The 18,124-nt window shown below is 59.7% G+C and overlaps 1 protein-coding gene across 16 annotated transcripts in view, besides 5 other annotated features; it reads right to left on the bottom strand.

The window, feature by feature from the left end:
- The window catches only part of KDM4B (lysine demethylase 4B), a 184,486-nt gene that overhangs the window by 101,626 nt on the left and 64,736 nt on the right, over positions 1 to 18,124 (bottom strand). For all 16 annotated transcript variants that reach the window (XR_007066691.1, XM_005259521.5, NM_015015.3 and 13 more), the window contains 3 exons: positions 11,962 to 12,137; positions 10,722 to 10,836; positions 4,304 to 4,497 (listed from right to left, as the gene is read on the bottom strand). Coding sequence is in view for 15 of the 16 variants with exons in the window: in XM_005259521.5 (XP_005259578.2) it covers positions 4,304 to 4,497; positions 10,722 to 10,836; positions 11,962 to 12,137 (485 nt within the window). In the remaining variant the exon portion in view is untranslated. The remainder of the gene's footprint in view (positions 1 to 4,303; positions 4,498 to 10,721; positions 10,837 to 11,961; positions 12,138 to 18,124) is intronic.
- Positions 2,460 to 3,062: an enhancer, noted in NCBI's record as "H3K27ac-H3K4me1 hESC enhancer chr19:5048922-5049524 (GRCh37/hg19 assembly coordinates)". NCBI's record gives its function as "activates a minimal SCP1, AML or CMV promoter by ChIP-STARR-seq in naive H9 embryonic stem cells {active_cell/tissue: H9 hESC(naive)}" and the evidence as "EXISTENCE:reporter gene assay evidence [ECO:0000049][PMID:30033119]".
- Positions 4,556 to 5,359: an enhancer, noted in NCBI's record as "H3K4me1 hESC enhancer chr19:5046625-5047428 (GRCh37/hg19 assembly coordinates)". NCBI's record gives its function as "activates a minimal SCP1, AML or CMV promoter by ChIP-STARR-seq in primed H9 embryonic stem cells {active_cell/tissue: H9 hESC(primed)}" and the evidence as "EXISTENCE:reporter gene assay evidence [ECO:0000049][PMID:30033119]".
- Positions 8,719 to 9,237: an enhancer, noted in NCBI's record as "H3K4me1 hESC enhancer chr19:5042747-5043265 (GRCh37/hg19 assembly coordinates)". NCBI's record gives its function as "activates a minimal SCP1, AML or CMV promoter by ChIP-STARR-seq in naive H9 embryonic stem cells {active_cell/tissue: H9 hESC(naive)}" and the evidence as "EXISTENCE:reporter gene assay evidence [ECO:0000049][PMID:30033119]".
- Positions 9,238 to 9,757: an enhancer, noted in NCBI's record as "H3K27ac-H3K4me1 hESC enhancer chr19:5042227-5042746 (GRCh37/hg19 assembly coordinates)". NCBI's record gives its function as "activates a minimal SCP1, AML or CMV promoter by ChIP-STARR-seq in naive H9 embryonic stem cells {active_cell/tissue: H9 hESC(naive)}" and the evidence as "EXISTENCE:reporter gene assay evidence [ECO:0000049][PMID:30033119]".
- Positions 14,722 to 15,296: an enhancer, noted in NCBI's record as "H3K4me1 hESC enhancer chr19:5036688-5037262 (GRCh37/hg19 assembly coordinates)". NCBI's record gives its function as "activates a minimal SCP1, AML or CMV promoter by ChIP-STARR-seq in primed H9 embryonic stem cells {active_cell/tissue: H9 hESC(primed)}" and the evidence as "EXISTENCE:reporter gene assay evidence [ECO:0000049][PMID:30033119]".

Here is an 18,124-nt window from a genome sequence, read left to right as displayed (position 1 = left end):
ACAAGCTCCGAGACCCCCACCTCCCACACCTGCACCGGAGACTGAGTGTGTCCAAGGTAAACAGAGGCAGGAGAGGGTGGGCGGAGCGATCCCCTGAGGAAACAGCCAGAGATGAGACCATGGGGGACCCCCATCCTGCCTGGGGCAATGGGGGATTTCCAGACTGCCGCGGGTCATGGGCAGGTCAAGGTCGCAGTCCGGGCAAGCGCTCCTTCGCCCCGCTGCTCTTGGGGGCTTCACCTGGGTGCAGGATGACCCCCCTTCTGACAAGCGGAGCTGCAGAGACCCTGGGGGACACCCCCTTCCCTAAGCCTGAGCAGAGGCCTCTGTGGCTGCCACGCACCTGCGCTGGCCCCGCGGCACTCCTCAGGAGGGCCTTCCTCTCGCCGCCTTGGAGCCAGTGCAAGCAGCTGACCATGTCCCATCAGCTCACGACGTCCTCGGGAGTCCCTGCAGCCCCAGGAACATGCTGATCCCCCATCTGGCTTCCCTGCTGCAGTGAGAGCCAAAGCTTCTGCTCTTGGCGGTGGCCCACAGTCCCCTAAACACCCCAACACTGCCCTGCAGGGTGTCTGATGGGTTGGGGGCAAAAGGGGACCCGAAGCCTCGGCCAGGTCCCAGCCCGGCACATGGGTGCACAGGACTGAACAGTGGGCACTTTCCCAGGCAGCGTGGGCCAGGGCCCTCGAGGGGGGATGGCCACTCCACTCTCTTCTTTGGGGTGCACAGCACAATCCGAATGACCCAGAAGTGCCCTGGGACCAGCAACTCTCTCAGGGCTGGCCGAGACCCAACATCCTCCCACCCCGGCCTGGAACTCTCTTCTAGGGGCATGTGGCATGTGATGCTGCTGGCGACACTGCGCTCAGCCTCGTGGCGACGCCTGTGTTTCGTGCCTGGCCCGGGCGGCTCAGGAGGGTGGGCCCTGCAGGGGCTGCCACAGGTGCAGGTTGGGGAGGGGATGCCTGGAGGGGAACAGCCGCAGGACCGGCCTTGGAGGGTCAGCTCGGCTAAACCACCCCCACCCCAGGTTCCAGGAGGGTCTTTTTATTTATTTATTTTTTATTTATTTTGAGACGGAGTCTCACTCTGTCGCCCAGGCTGGAGTGCAGGGGTGTGATCTCCGCTCACTGCAAGCTCCGCCTCCTGGGTTCACACCATTCTCCTGCCTCAGCCTCCCGAGTAGCTGGGATTATAGGCACCTGCCACCACACCCGGCTCATTTTTTGTATTTTTAGTAGAGACGGGGTTTCACCGTGTTAGCCAAGATGGTCTCGATTTCCTGACCTCATGATCCAACCGCCTCAGCCTCCCAAAGTGCTGGGATTACAGGCGCAAACCACCGCGCCTGGCCCCAGGAGAGTCTTGATCTATGGCAAGGAGTGTGGCCTGGGACAGTGGCTTCTATGGGGCACAGCCTTCAGGACACCGACCCCAGGCCACCACCCCACCCAGGAAGACCCTGGAATACAGGGTCAAGTGGAAAGCTCGGACCCTCCCCACACCCACCTGCACTCCGGCCCCCCCGGCCTGGGTGACAGAAGGGGCTGCGGGAAGTTGGCGGGGGGAAGTTGCAGGTGCTGGCTCTGGTTTCAATCCGCATTGCCAAAGAGATTTTGAGGCGCTCAGTCTCTTCAGATATTCTTAGCCCCGCTGCCTGAGAGCACCACAGAAGCCAGCCTTTTGAAGCATGTTTCTGCCTGTTATTGACACCAGGCTGTTCACGTCACTTTGACACACAAATCAAGCTACCAAAGTAGCAACAGACCCAGAAAGCTTTAATAAAATGCTGTAAACCTGAGTACATTGACACTTTCTTTAAAATCCCACTGGAATACTCTGAAATGGTTGCAATTAAGCGGCTGCAGATGCAAGCGGAACAGTGTAATGAGGGAGACAGACGGGGCGCAGCCTTGGTGATCTCTTGGCTGGGAGCCCTACCTACCCCAAGGGCCCGAGGAAGGGAGAGGGGGGAAGCATCTCCCAGGGGCCTGAGTAGCTTCCTGAACCCCAGCCCAGGGACCAGAGGCCAGACACTCTTTCCAGTTACCTTGTCCCCACCCCCCTGCAAGTTGGGAGGGCAGCCTGGAGGGGTAGTCAGCTCCCACAGCACACAGTGAGGATCCAAGAGGCTCCGGCAAGTCACCAAGCCTCTCTGTGCCAGGCCCCTGCTGGGAGCTGGGACACGGGGTGACCAGGGCCCCTACCATCTGCTGGGGAGGACTGATAGCCCGTAGTAGACGTTGGCTAATGCTGGGGTCACCTGGTCTATGCCTGTCGCAGGCATGGGGTGTCGTGGGAACATCTGGGGCCCCGCCTCAGCCCTGGTGAGAGAGCAGGGAAGGGGCCCTGCGTGCTAAGCAGGCTGAGCTGACTGTGGGGGCGAGTGGGGAGCTCTGGGGGGTTGAGGGCATGCCCTGCAGCTAGAGCCTACACTGTGGCTCCTCTCAGGCCCCTCATGCCAGGCCCCACCCCTGCCATCCCCACCCCTTCCTGGGCAAAAACCAAGACCAAGGTCAGGGCGCTTCCGGAATTCCCTTCCCGAAAGAACTGTTGCCTACTCAACGCTGCCCCGCCCCAGCTGTCTCCCCTGAGCCATCTCCCACGACGGGTCATGGGGAAGGGTAGACATGGGAGTGGCAGCTGGACGCCTGCGGCACCAGGCGAAGCAGAGGAGGGGTGCAGTGAGGGGCATTCGGGGAGAGGTGCGGGATGCCCTCAGAGGCTGCGTCCTGGATGAACCAGCTCAGGAGAGGCCCTCGGCTCCTGGCGCATCCCTGTCAGTCCCTCCGACGGCCTGTGGCCGGGCCCCACTGCCGCCTCCAGGGAGCCACTGTCGCCTCCTCCCGCAGAGGCCCCTCTGACCTAGCAGCAGGCACCCCCGGCCCTGGCATCTGACCCATAGCAGCCCCAGCCCCAGGGTCTCCCCCAGCCCAGGCTCCCACGACAGCCAGCAACCCCCGGGGCCCCTCACAGGAGACCGAGCTGCTGGCACTGCAGTCCTTGGCACTGAAGTCCTCACGTCTGACTCACTGGCTGGTCCCCCACCTCCCATGTCCCTGACCCCCCTGCTTCTGTCTGGCTGGGCCTCCTTGCCGGCTGCTCGCCACTTCCCGCCCCACAGGGGCTCTCTGCACAGGGCAGACGGTCCCTATGGAGGCACAAACCCGGTCACACCATGGGCGTCCCGCTGCCCACGCACCCCTGGGAGGCCACGCTTTGCCCCAAGTCACACGGGGTCCTCTACAGGGCCTTTCCCTTGGGCTCCATCTGCGCTTCGGACGCAGGTGAGGATGCGCACAGCTCGCCCCTTCCTGCTCATTGTGCTTTTTTTTAACGAAGAGGTACAGCATTCTCCCCCGCCCCCCCCTCTCCCCGCTTACAACTCCAACCCAGGGAAGGGCCAGGCAAGGCGGAGCTCCCACGCCCTCCAGGCAAAGGCTCCGTCCTCCTCCAGCGCGAGGACGGCCTGGGAAGATTCCAGGCATGAGCGCGGCCCCGGGAAGGGCGGGAGCGCCACCTAGCGGCCCTTGGAGGACAGTGCAGGGCAGCCCCGCGGAGCACCCAGCAGGTTCCGCAGTCACAAGCAGAGCCCGGTGACACAGGGGCACACACACGCATGCATACTCACACTCACTCACGTGCGCACTCACATGCGCGCGCACACGTGCACATTCACACACACCCCCACACGGCCTCGCTGCGACGTGCACAGGGAGCCAGGAGAAGGTCCTGGAACTCAGCCCGCCACAGCAGCGCCCACGCTGCACCCGGCACCTCCCGGGCAGGGGCAGGTCCACCACACTGCACACAGGCCTGCAGCGCCACGCCCTGCCCTCCTAACTGTAGGGCCTGGCCCAGACGTGCCAGGGCGGAGACTGCGAGGGAGCGGCTGCAGGGTCATCCTGGCCAGGCCCCTCTGGGCAGCATGGACAGTGTCCCTTCACCAGGAACGTCTCCACTTGGCTGTGAGGCAGCACAGCCTGGGCAGCTCAGGAGGCTCAAGACCACGCTCCTGGCCATGGGGACACCTGGGGCCGCTCACAGCTCAATGGGGGGCACTCCGGGGTACAAAGCGCAAGCTCTAGGGGCCTGGGAGCTTCGGCTCTGGGGGTGCACATCCCCCACCCCAAAGCTGGTGGGTGACCCCAGGCGGTCCGGAAGATCTCCAGCCGTCATAGGCCGACCTTTGCGGCCTCACCTGGTGGGGCCCCTGCCACGGCGCCCAGCCGTGTACCCGGGATTGACTCCCTCCCGAGGGGCTCTCGGTCCGGCCGGCGGCAGGGCCAGTGCAGACACTCACCAGGACTTAGGCTCCCCAAAGTGCAGGTAGTTGATGCTGTACAGGTCCATGTCCTCGGTGTGCCAGGCGAAGGTGGTCTTCCACATGCCGAAGTACAGGTAGGGCGTGTTCACGCCCTCGATGATGGTGCCGCACTCGCGCTCCACCATGTCCAGGATGGTCCGGAGGCTCCCGATGTTCCACTGGGCCACGTCCTGTGGGGCGGCAGAGCAGCGTCGGCAACCGCCCGGCCACCCCCAGAACCTGCGAGCCCTGGGGTGCAGGCTAATTCTCCCCAGAGTCCCAGGGGTCGCTGCCCATCCTCCTCCACCCCAGTATCTGCGGCCCCCCCAGGGGCCGGTCATACCCTGCAGACCAGGGGCTGGTCTTAACCTGTGTGAGATTCTTGCCCAGGCTGGAGTGCAGTGGCAGAATCATAGCTCACTGCAGCCTCAACCTCCCAGGCTCAGGTAATCCTCCAGCCTCAGTCTCCTGAGTACCTGGGACTATAGGCTATAGGCGTGAGAAACCACACCTGGCTAATTTTTACTTTTTTCTGTGTAGAGATGAAGTCTCACTCTGTTGCCCAGGCTGGTCTCGAACTCCTGGGCTCAATGGTCCCTCCCACTTTGGCCCCTCCAAGCGCTGGGGCTGCAGGCATGAGCCGCCATACCCAGCCCAGACACCTTTTCTGAAGGGCTCACCGCCAGCTTGGCCCTTCCAGGAAGGGCCCCATCGCACATGCCAGCGTGCACCAGGCAGGCAGGGCCTGTCAGATTCCACTGAGCTGCGTGCTTCCTGCTGGGTGGAGGCCTTGTTGTGAAGCCTGCAGTTTGGGAGTGCATAATTAACACGCCTCTAAGTCAATGACACGGAAGGAGAAAAACAGTCACCACTTGGGGCTAACCCAGCGATGGTACCGGAGCCAAGGCCCAGTGACAGCCCTTCCACAGCTTCTGACCGAGGAGACGAAGACAGTTTTCAGAACTAGGCAAACAAGGACGGAATCCCCACCCACCAGGCACATCTATTCTTAATGCCACAAGCAAACAAACCCCGTCCTGTCCCAAGAGCTCATAAAATACACATTAGTCACTGCAGTCCCCGGAGAGGCTCATGGCCTGCTGAGAGGCCGAGAGGAGCCCAGACACACATGAACGTGAGCTGCTCTCACAGCCTGAATCCACCCCCCACCAGCTGTTCCTGCACCTGCACGACCGGCCCTCAGACTTGGCAAGACCAGCGGTTCCTTTGCAAGGTGAGCCCTGGCAGGAGCCCAGAAGAGGTGAGGAGGGAGGCAGTGATGAGACCCAGATGGGGCAGAGGGAGGCCCCAGGCACAGGCTGAGCTGGGCGCAAATTCATCCTGGGACCACAGCAAGTCGCTTCTCTGCTGTGGGCTGTTTCCCCCGCTGTAAAAGTAGGCTAGTGCATAGGCTAGGCATGGCAAACACATGGCAAGGAAGCCCTGAAGCTTCCCCTGGCACCTGTGGCAGGTCGGCCTGGGCTGGCACAGCCTGCGTGCGGCTGCAGAGTCCCTCCCGGGTCATCACTACAGGCCAAGTGCAGGCAGTGCAGGCCAGCCAACCCAGAGGCTCTCATGCACTGGAGTCTGAGGCTGAACTTTCACTTGAAAACAATCAGGCAGGATCCGTAAGAGAAAGACAAGCCCCAGTCAGAAAGAAAATACTTGCAAGTCACAACTGATAACCAAAATACACAGCAAACTCTCAAATTTAACCAGAAGAAAACAAACAGCATGGTTAAAAAACAGAAAAAGATGGCCAGGCGCGGTAGCTCACGCCTGTAATCCCAGCACTTTGGGAGGCCAAGGCAGGTGGATCACCTGAGGTCAGGAGCTTGAGACCAGCCTGGCCAACATGACAACACCTCGTCTCTACTAAAAATACAAAAATTAGGCTGGACATGGTGGCTCATGCCTGTAAATCCCGGCACTTTGGGAGGCCAAGGCGGGCAGATCACGAAGTCAAGAGATTGAGACCATCCTGGCCAACATGGTGAAACCCCATCGCTACTAAAAATTCAAAAATTAGCTGGGCGTGGTGGTGGGCACCGTAGTTCCAGCCTGGTGACAGAGCAAGACTCCATCTCAAAAAAAAAAAAAGAAAGAAAATTAGCTGGGTGTGGTGGTGGGCGCCTGTAATGTAATCCCAGCTACTTGGGAAGCTGAGGCACAGAAATGATTGAACCCAGGAAGTGGAGGTTGCAGTGAGCCTAGATCACGCCACTGCACTCCAACCTGGGCAACAGAGCGAGACTCCATCTCAAACAACAACAACAACAACAACAAACTGGGCAAAAGACATGAAGAGAGCTCACCAAGGAAACACACAGATGGCAAACAGGCATGCAAAGGGGCCCCGCCGCGAAGGCAGCCATCGGGGGAATGCAGATTGAAATGGCAATGAGACAGCGCAACACGCCTCCCAGGGTGGCCAGGATGCACAACACCGACAACTCCAGATGGGGGCGGGGAAGCGGGGCCCTGGGAACGTTCATTCGCTGCTGCTAGGAGCACACAGTGGGACAGGTGGGCGGGAGGACAGTTTGGTGGCGTCTTAAAAAACTAAACGTCCTCTCACCACGTGGTCCAGCAACTGTACTCCTTGGTATTTACCCAAAGGAGATGAAAACTTCTGCCCACATTGACCAAACTTGGAAGGGTCCTTTAATAGGTGAATGAGCAGGCACACTGTGGTGCACCCGGACCATGGAGTATTATTCAGCGCTGAAAAGAAATGAGCTCTCAAGCCATGAAAAATGGAGCAAACTTGAACACCTATTGCTTGGTCAAAGAGGCCAATGGGAAAAGGCTACCGACTGTAGGATTCCAGCTCACGGCATTCTGGAAAAGGCTGAGCTATGGAGACAGTGAGACATCAGTGGTTGCCTGGGGCGCAGGAGAGGGATGGGGGAGAGGGAGGAATGACGAGGGGGAGCTCAGGGGATCATTAGAGTGGTGGGATGACTCCATGTGACACTGTAATCCCAGCTACTCGGGAGGCTGAGGCAGGAGAATCGCTTGAACCCAGGAGGCAAGGTTGCAGAGAGCTGAGATTGCGCCACTGCACTGCAGCCTAGGTGACAGAGCAAGACTCTGTCTCAAAGACAAAGAAACAAACACACAAGAAACGTTCACAGCACCATTATTCAAAATAGCCAAAAAGAGAACACAGCCCAAATGTCCGTCAGCGGATGAACTGATCAACACTGCGCGGGATAAGGTGGACACCCCCACTCCGATAAACACCGCGTGGGATAAGGTGGACACCCCACTCCGATAAACACCACGCGGGATAAGGTGGACACCCCACTCCGATAAACACCACGCGGGATAAGGTGGACACCCCCACTCCGATAAACACCGCGTGGGATAAGGTGGACACCCCACTCCGATAAACACCACGCGGGATAAGGTGGACACCCCACTCCGATAAACACCACGCGGGATAAGGTGGACACCCCCACTCCGATAAACACCGCGTGGGATAAGGTGGACACCCCACTCCGATAAACACCGCGTGGGATAAGGTGGACACCCCACTCCGATAAACACCACGCGGGATAAGGTGGACACCCCCACTCCGATAAACACCACGCGGGATAAGGTGGACACCCCCACTCCGATAAACACCGCGTGGGATAAGGTGGACACCCCACTCCGATAAACACCACGCGGGATAAGGTGGACACCCCCACTCCGATAACCACCACGCGGGATACAGTGGACACCCCCACTCCGATAAACACCACGCGGGATAAGGTGGACACCCCCACTCCGATAAACACAGCACGGGATAAGGTGGACACCCCACTCCGATAAACACAGAGTGGGATAAGGTGGACACCCCACTCTGATAAACACCACGCGGGATAAGGTGGACACCCCACTCCGATAACCACCACGCGGGATACAGTGGACACCCCCACTCCGATAAACACCACGCAGGATATGGCGGACACTGCACTCCGATAAACACCACGCAGGATACGGTGGACACCCCCACTCCGATAAACACCACGCAGGATATGGTGGACACCCCACTCTGATAAACCCCACGCAGGATATGGTGGACACCCCCACTCTGATAAACACCACACAGGATATGATGGACACCCCACTCCGATAAACACCACGTAGGATATGGTGGACACCCCCACTCCGATAAACACAGCACGGGATAAGGTGGACACCCCCACTCCGATAAACACAGCGCGGGATAAGGTTGACACCCCACTCCGATAAACACCACGCAGGATACGGTGGACCCCCCCACTCCGATAAACACCACGCGGGATAAGGTGGACACCCCCACTCCGATAAATGCTGCGCAGGATAAGGTGGACACCCCACTCCGATAAACACAGCACGGGATAAGGTGGACACCCCCACTCCGATAAACACAGCACGGGATAAGGTGGACACCCCACTCCGATAAACACAGAGTGGGATAAGGTGGACACCCCACTCCAATAAACACCACGCGGGATAAGGTGGACACCCCCACTCCGATAAACACCACTCGGGACAAGGTGGACACCCCACTCCGATAAACGCCGTGCGGGATAAGGGGGACACCCCCGCTCCAAAAATCCAAAACCCAAAAAGCTCCAAGGTCCCAAATGTTCTGAGTACCGATAACGACGCCACAAGTGAAAACTTTCACAGCTGACCTCATGTGACCGGTCACAGTTAAGACACAGTCAAAACTTCGCTTCGTGCACAAAATTATTAAAAACTTTGTGTAAAGTTATCTTCAAGCTACGTGTGTAAAGTGTACGCGAAATACAGATGAATTTTGTGTTTAGACTTGAGTCTGTGGAACTGCAGGTCCCGGTGTCGGCGGTGGGGCCGGGTGGGAGGTGGCTGCACCGTGGGTGGATTGCTCATGTCTCCTGAATGGTTCAGCGCCATCCCCGCGGTGCTGTCCTCAGGGCAGTGAGTGCTCGCGAAACCTGGCTGTTGAAAAGCCTACGGCGCCCCCCCCCTCACTCTCTCCTGCTGTGTAAGATGGATCAGCTCCTCCTTCACCTTTGCCACGACTCTAAGTTTCCTGAGGCCTCCCAAGCCATGTTTCTTGCAGAGCCTGCAAAAACGTGAACCAATTAAACCTTTTCTTTATTCACTACCCAGTCTCAGGTGTTTGTTTCCTTCTTTTTTTTTTTTTTTCTTGTGACGTAGTCTCATTTTTGCCCAGGCTGCGGGGCAGTGGCGCGATCTTGGCTCACTGCAACCTCCACCTCCCGGGTTCAAGCGATTCTCCTGCCTCAGCCTCCCGAGTAGCCGGGATTACAGGCACACACCACCATGCCCAGCTAAGTTTTGTATTTTTAGTAGAGACAGGTTTTGCCATGTTGGCCAAGCTGGTCTTGAACTCCTGACCTCAAGTGATCTGCCCACCTCAGTCTCCCAAAGTGCTGGGATTCAGGCGTCAGCCACCACGCCCAGCCTCAGTTATTTCTTTATAGCAGTGCAAGAACAGACTAATCCAGACTTAGGGCCCATCTCCAAGATATCTCAGGATGTATATGCAAATATTCAAAAAAAGAAAATCTCAAATTCGAAATACTCTGGTCTCATGTTTGCTTCTGGTGGGGCCGGAAGCAAGGCTGGCTTATGCCTGGCTCCATGTCGGGGGCGTCTCCCTCAGGTTCTCCAGGGCGGGCTCACTTCCAGCCTGAACAGAATCCTCCGTGTCATAAACCGGCGCCCTCGGCTCAGAGAGCAAACCCAGTCCCCTGCGGGCCACAGCGCAGACAAGGTCCACTAAGCAGGGCAGAGCCAAGGCTGGCCGTGGCCTCAGGGCAGTCACAGCTTCCTGCTGCTGTTCCACACACACCCGCCACGCAGGCCCACTTCTGGCGTCCAGCGGGGCCTGGGGGACCTTATGCCTGAGGCTGGGACTCTGGGGATGCCGGCCAGCTGCCCTCATGGAGAGCCCAGGCTGTGTGGACAAGAGGACGCTCCAGCAGACCAGGCTCGGGATGGGAGATCCCCTCACCCCAGTGTCTCCGGGCCCTGAGCCCAAGTCAGGACCGGGTTGGAGCCGAATCCAGCAGGTGGCCTGGCGGGCTGAGGACTCGAGGCTCCACAGTGCCAGGAAGACGAGCGGCAGGGACTGGGAAAGTACACGTGTTTGTAACACGCTGTGGGCCGGCTGCTGAGGCCAGAGGTGGGGCCAGGGTGAGCTCAGGGTGGGGGCTGCAGGGTGAGGCAGGAGGGGCCCTGCAAAAATCAGAGAAAGCCTGGCTTCCTCTTTCGTCACCACAGGGCGAGGCCCGCATCCAGAGCCTGGGCGAGGGGGTTAACCTTGCCTGCCTGGAAGCTTCATCTGCCAAGGCAGAGTCCCGTTCAGGGCCCTCCCACCACCACCCACCAGGAAGCTGGTCCCTGTTCTTCCCCGGAGCCTCATACTTACGTCATCATACAAAGAGCCGCTGATGTCAGCCCCGTAGATCGGGGAGACAAAGGTGAGGTTCTTCCAGTATTTGCGTTCAAGGTCATCAAAGTCCTGGTGCCGCGGGGTACAGTACCTGGTGAACAAACACCCCAAAACCAGCTCAGGGTGAGGCCTGGGTGCTACGCAGCCCACCCTCAGCCACCTGGAACCCAGGGCACCCATGAAAGAGGCGGGAGGGGCTCTGCTCCGACTGCCCGCTGCCCCGCCTAGGGTACCACGCAACCTGCTTCCGGGTGGGACAGCGCACTTCCACGGGCGAGCAGTGGCCCAAACCCACGTACCCCTCCTCAGTTATCCTGGCCCGGGGCACCCACATCAGAACACACGCCAGGGGGAGTGGGCAGGGGACAGAGGCCCTGGGAGGCTCTTGTCATCCCTGTGTGGCAAAGACTGAGCTCAGACGACAGACTAGGGGGCTGGGAAGGCCGGGTGAGCAGGACAGACCAGGCTCTGCTCTGGTGCCAGAGCCACAAGGCACGTGAACCTCAGAGAGCAACAGGGTGGAGGCCACAGACAGGGTGGAGGCCACAGACAGAGAGGAGGGCACGGCGACGGGACAGGCCTGCGCAGCACGGAGGCTACGTGGCTGTGCCTGCTGAACCAGGGAGCTGTACTCGGAACACTGCCGGTACACGCAGGTGCCATGTGTACCTGGGTAGGCGCCCATAGGTGTGCCCACATGGATGTGCCTGTGTACCTGTGCATGAGCCTGTGTGTCCCTGTGTAGAAACGTGCGTGTGCCATGTGTACCCGTGTGTGCCTGTGTATGGACGTGCGTGTGCCCTGTGTACCCATGTGTGTTACATGTGCCCTCGTGTGTTCTGTGTCTGTGCCCTCCTGTGTGCCTGTGCATGTACCCGTGTGGAGCCAGGGAGCCCTCTCTGAGGAGGGGCCACAAGCCCAGGTGTCACAGGAGGGTGTGGAGGACGTGCTCCCAGGCCGGGGACCAGGACACCGCCCGACATGCACTGGGAAGCCCTGGGAAACTGAGATGAGGGCGGTGTGGGTCAGCCCAGGCCGGGAGAGGGTCCAGATCCACCCTGGGAGCAGGGGTCGCCACAGCCCACACGGGGCACACAGAGCAGGCCGGCCATGCTGTGGGGGCTGCGTGTACCGCACCTTCTCTGCCCCCAGGGCCCCCATGAGCAGGTGTGCCCCCGGGGGCGGGGGTCAGGTCCGCCCTGCCCGCCCCGCGTACTTCTCGCTGTTGGCCAGGCGGCGGTACTCGCCCACTGTCATGGCCTTCTTCTGGATATTGTACTGCGTGAAGAGGCCCGACTGGCCCGTCACCACCTGCTGGATGGGCGCCGGGATCACCACGTCGTCGATGTCATCATACGTCTGCCGCGGCTTCCACTCCTTCGGGGGGATGATCTGCAAGACCAAGATGGGAGTCAGTGGCACCCTCAGACCCTCAGGGCAGGGCCAGAGAGCAGACTGTGCCACCGGCTCCCCAGAGACCAGCACCCCCCAAGATCTGCACCTCGGGACACCCCCCAGGGGCACGAGGAACCCCCCCATTTGCCTTATCAAACTCCCCAGAAGACTCTGCAGCCAACAAGGGCCTCACCTGCTAGGGCAGAGCCATCCTCCAGGCCTGGGAAGCTGGGTACAGCACCCCCCCAGCACCAGGGCCAACCCTGACACGTGTGTGCAGGATTAGACTCAGCAAACATAGGTGGCACTGGGCGTGTGTGTGTTCTGGCATCTTGAGGCTCAGAGACTCGTATTTTGAGGCATTTGTTGTTGTTGTTGTTGAGACAGGGTCTTGCTGTCACTCAGGCTGGACTGCAGTGGCACAATCATAGCTCACTGCAGCCTCCAACTCCTGGACTCACGTGATCCTCCCACCTCAGCCTCCCGAGTAGTGGGGACCACAGACTTGCACCACCATGCCCAGCTAATTTTTTTAAAAAATTTTAATTTTCTCTAGAGATGGAGTCTCATTTTGTTGCACAGGCTGGTCTCAAACTCCTGGCCTCAAGTGATTCTCCTGTCTCAGCCTCCCAAAGTGCTGGGATCACAGATGTGAGCCACTGCGCCCTGGTAAGGCATTTTTCAAAACGGGAATCTTCATGCTTGGTCATAAGCGCTGCAGCTCACAATGCCCTCTGGCAGCAGGAAGTGAGAACTGCACCCACTGGCTACCAAGAGCCCACCAGGGGCCACATGCACCTGGAGAACAGGGGTTGGAGCCCAGACACTATCCCCAGTGGCTCCACTTGGCTGAGACCCACTATGGGGCAACCCAAGTTCTAGGAGCTAGGAAACACTGGGAAACAGATCCAGCCCCCATGGGCCTCCGCCCCGCCTGGAGTGAGCCAACAGGAAGTGCAGGCGCAGGGAGGGTGACAGCACCACATGGGACAGGGGCCGTGAGGCAGGACAGGAGCTGTGCGGAGCTGGGCACTGTGCAGAGCGTGCTGGGGCCCAGCGCACCCATCTCCTGGGTGGGAGGAATGGCAGAGCTCCCATCTGACCGCTGAAGAAACTGAGGCACACAGCGATCCACAACACAGCCCGGGGCACCCTGGGGTGAGCAGACAGACTATGGCCCAGGACCTCTAGCCTGGCGGCCACGTGGACTTCCACCCCAGAGAGGTCCTGGGCCACCTCAGACACTGGAACACGCGGAGAAGACAGCAGAGGAAGACAAGGACCAGCACCTGTCAGAGGCGGCACTGCAGCCGGAACCCGGTGCCTTCACTAATTTAGAGTTAAACCGAGACAAGGCTGGTCCCAAGGAAAGGACAGTCCAGGTTAGCGCCGGCTCTTTCTGGAGACATCCAGGAGCTGAGGGACCAGGGCTATCCGGAGTACACGCCTCACCCTGGGCTCCTGGCCTTGTCCCCAGCCTCATGTTCCCTCCTCTGGTGGGGGTGAGCCTATGGGCCGACAAGACCAGATTCTAGACTGCCGGTGGGCACCACGGGCCTTCTGGGTGCCAGGCACCCTTCTGTGCAGGCCCTCCCAGCCGCTCCGGGGCTGCCACACCCAGTCCTGGGGTGGGCACTGCAGGCCCCACGCCTCCTTCCAGGAGTCGACCGGGCCACCCACTGCACAGGGAGAAGGAACTAACCCACCCGCTTCGGCTCATCTGCCAGGAATCTGGCAAGCTGCCCCTCCGCGCCCCGGGCCACCAAGGGAAGAGCTGTGTGTTGACGCCTGCATCGCTGGCAGCTTCCAGAACGGCTAAAATCCATTTACTGTCCCCAAGGACCCAGCGATCACATCAGTGAAGAAACTGTTTTGCTTGGCAATGAAAACACTTATCCTCCAGGTGCCTGTTAACGACAGGAAGGTGCTGCCTCCGTGGCCGGCATGCACAGGTTTCTTTAGCAAAAGCAGTAACAGCAGCAGCAGCCGCAGCGAGCAGGTGGCTCTCAACTGAGGGGGGGTCTTGTCCCCCAGGGGACACCTGGCCATGTCTGGGGATGTCTGTGGCTTTCACGACTGAGGGTGCTCCTGGCATGAGGTAGATGGAGGCCAGGGAAGCTGCTCAGCACCCTGCAATGCCCAGGATGGCGCCACCCCAGAGAACGATGCGGCCCCAAGTCCACAGTGCCAAGCGAAGAGAAACACTAATTTAGAGTTAAACCAAGATGAGGCCGGTCCCAAGGAAAGGACAGTCCAGCTTAGCGCCGGCTCTTTCTGGAGACTCTCCATGTCCACTATGGCCACAGTGCAAAAGGCGCCTGGGGCACCTGTCCCTGGCACAGGCTGTGTGATGGCAGGGTGCTGGGGCAGCTGCGGGGCTGCCGTTCTCTTAGATTTCAGGGGAGCAGCTGAAGAGTCAGTGAGACACGAAGACATTGAGGAGTGGAAAGGCGAGAAACAGAAACAAAAGGGCCTGTGTCCCAGACACGAGATGTTACTACAGAGAACTGAGTGGTATGGTCAGAGACCCACAGGCCAGCACTGCTCTGAATCACACAGACACTGTCCCCCCTCTCCAGGAAGCCCCAGTCTGCTTCTGCAGGAGGGTTCCATGAACCTGGCCCGGCTCCAAATCCACGCCAAAGCCGCTGGCCGAGGGGAAGCCGTGAATTCGCCTCTTCAGTGCTATTAGAGGAAACTCGCCCATGATCCTAGTCTGCTAAATGAACAAAAACACTTCGCTCCCGATTCCTCTGCTCTTGAAAGAACGCCTCGGGCTACATTGCTCATCTGTCCCTTCCACGGCGGGCACTGTGTAGTAAAGACATCTGGGAGCCACGCAGGAAGCTCCAAACACCCCCACGGTGTCTGCGCCGCACACACGGAGCCACACTCTAGGTGACACAGCCCAGGCAGGTGCTGACAGGCAGCGTGAACGAGGGCCACTTCCAGCTGGGCTCAAACCCGAAGGCTCTGGGAAAATCCCGCAGGGCGGAAGAGGACAGAAGTGACATCCCACAATCTGCCGAGACGCAAATCCAGAAGGAGGGCTCCAGGCGGGGAGGGTTGAAAAGGAGGCACTGAAAGCCGCTCGGGACATTCCTACTGCCACACTCGGGTCTTCCAGGCCTCCGGCGGCCCCTGAAAGTGCCTCACACGGGGCTCCTGGGGGGCCAGATTCAGCTGAGGCCAGGAAGGCGACCGGCCACATGCCAACAGTGAGAGGCAGATGCCGGCGGGTGGTATAGCTGAGGGCAGCCAGGGCCTCCCCTGCTGGCACCCGCCTGGGAGGCAGCTGGTGGGGGTGGAGGGGCACTGGAAGTTCCCACCCCTCCCAACAGGACCCCCGACGGGGCCTTCCAGGGCTCCTCTCACCTCAGTGCTTCCCAAGTGGTCGGGGACACCCCGTGTGGAGGGCCCAGCAACTCCAGTGGAAGGCTTCCTGCACCCAGGGCACCGCCAGCTCCAGGGCCCTCTCAGGGCTGTGCCCGCAGCTCCCGCCCCCACCGAGCTCCATCGGGCCTGCAGATCTCTGCTGGGGGCAGGGGCGATGTATAACCAAACACAGTTTTGATGGAACCAGGAAACCCCCAGCTCCCCCACCACACACATACATGCACGCACACACACAGTGGTCAAGGCAGGCAGACCAGGGTGAGAGGGGGACCCCAACACCCCCACAGCTCGCTCAGAACCAGCAGGGCACTGTGCTCCTTCTCCAAAGAGGCTGGCTGCCCCGAGCCAAGGGCCCCCCATTTGGAAGACGCAGGGCTGCCCAGGGCCAGAGCAGATGCTTCCCTGAGCCCATCTGTCCCCACAGAGCTGCAGAAGGGGGTGTGCGTGTGCCACATGCGGGTGCCAACGTGACTCTGCAGCTGCCAAGCTCTCTGGGCTGTGTGAGAGCTGCCTCCCCACCTCAGTCTCCTGTGCGCGCAGGCGCGCGCGCGCGCGCACACACACACACACACAGAGACACGTGCACACACAGCCCCTCCACAGCATGGGACCCGGACGGCCCCCTACTGCCCAGCCCCCTCCACGGGTTTGAGAAAGGATTCTCTGCACTGGTGCAAGGAGAAGCAGCATGGGAGCTGCCGCTGCAGAGGCATGGGAAGGAACACGCAGAACGCAAGGCAGGGAAACCATACTCCCCACACTGGCTTAAGACGCCGGTGCCAAGAATCTCGGGGGAACTGGCCTGGGGGGAGTGCAGAAACCTGAAGCAGCGACATGAGGGCTCAAAGAGGCGGCAGCCAAGGAGGCAGAGGGAGGGAGGGACGAAGCGGAGGTGCCAGCGCGGGGGAGGACAGGCCACCCGGGAACCCAGGCTGCACCCAAGGCCGCCACGTGGAGGGCAGAGAGAGCCGGAAACACCGGGGCATGGAGCCCGGTGGGAGGTGAGGGATGAGGAAGAAGTGACGGGGCGGGCATTTAAAGGCACCTCGGAAGAGCGCAGGGCGGTCTGAGATGCTGATTCCCCTCAACGTCCTGACATCAGGACGCCTTGGATCCCAAGCCAGAAAGGGCTGCTGCATCCTGGGAAATGTGGAAGTAGGTCAAGGGCAGGAGACAGAGGCAGATGCGGTGCCAGGATAAAGGGAGGCGACGCCTGTCCCACCTGCCCTATGTGCACCAGGGAGAGGAGGAAGAGGAGGACCTGGGCCTTTCCTGGGATAGCAGCCTGTGGCCTAGAGGGCCAGAGAAGACGGTCTGAGATGAGATAGGAGGACCAAAGCCTTTTAAAGACAGAACTGAAGCCGGGACGGCAGCAGCCCCCACCGTTCTGACCCGGACACAGATGTGCCATCATTCCCACATCGTCATGGTGTGTTACAATCAAAAATCCAGCTTGGTGGTGCACACCTGTGGTCCCAGCTACTCGGGAAGCTGAGGCTGGAGGACTGCTTGAGCCCAGGAGGTCAAGGCTGCAGTGAGCCGTGATCGCAGCACTGCACCCCAGCACCCCAGCCTGGGCGACAGAGCCAGACCCCCTCTCAAAACAGAAAAAACATCCATCTTGGAGGGGAAGAAAAGATGGTGCGAGACTGCTTCCCTCGCTCTACAGCTCAGAGACAAAGAAATAACAATGCGAGTCTGATACCGAAGGATCACTAGGAGAGAGACGAAGGCTACTGACAAAATCCACCAAAACCAGGGAGTGGAGGGAGGGGCAGGGTGGAGGCGGCCCGGAAAGGCAGGAGGCCTCAGCGCTCAGCAAACTGCGGCCCTCGGGCCGAATCAGCCCCTTCCTGCTTCTGTATAGCCTTTGAGTTATGAAGGCTTTTGTTTGTTTGTTTTCATTTTTAAGTGGTTGGGGGAAAAGAAAAAAGCAGAAGACGTGAAAACAATACGCGTTTGCCCTCCAGCATCCAGGAATAATGTTGTATTGGCACAGGGCCGTGCACTTTCATTCACACGGCGTCTGGTTGCTCTTTCTGGCTCACAGAGCCTAGGCGTTCACCCTCTGGCCGTGTGTAGAGACTGCCCGCCAACCCCTGGCCTAACTGAGGAAGAACAGCGATAGTCAAACAGCAGGCAACTGGAAGAACCCAAAATGCAACGACGATTCATCTTCCAAACTGAGGGGTGAGCACTGCTCGAACAGGCCCACACCCGAACACAGAGACTCACGGACCACGGCAGCCACCTTCAGAGCCGTGAAACGTGCAGCACCAACTTTTAAGTTTGTTTTGTTTTGTGAGACAGAATCTTCCTCTGTCGTCCAGGCTGGAGTGCAGTGGTGCAATCTCAGCTCACTGCAGCCTCAACCTCCCTGGCTCAAGTGATCCTCCCGCCTCAGCCTCCCGAGTAGCTGGGACCACAGACATGTACCAACACCACGCCTGGCTCATTTTTGTATTTTTAGTAGAGATGGGATCTCACTGTGTTGGCCAGCTTGGTCTTGAACTCCTGGCCTCAAGCAATCCCCCTGCCTCAGCCTCCCAAAATGCTGGGATTACAGGCCTGGGCCACCATGCCCAGAC

The sequence above is a fragment of the Homo sapiens genome, chromosome 19 (assembly GCF_000001405.40).
Source record: "Homo sapiens chromosome 19, GRCh38.p14 Primary Assembly".
NCBI classification, from domain to species: domain Eukaryota; kingdom Metazoa; phylum Chordata; class Mammalia; order Primates; family Hominidae; genus Homo; species Homo sapiens.
Note: the sequence above shows the minus strand (reverse complement) of the source record. Positions and strands in the feature narration are given on the sequence as shown.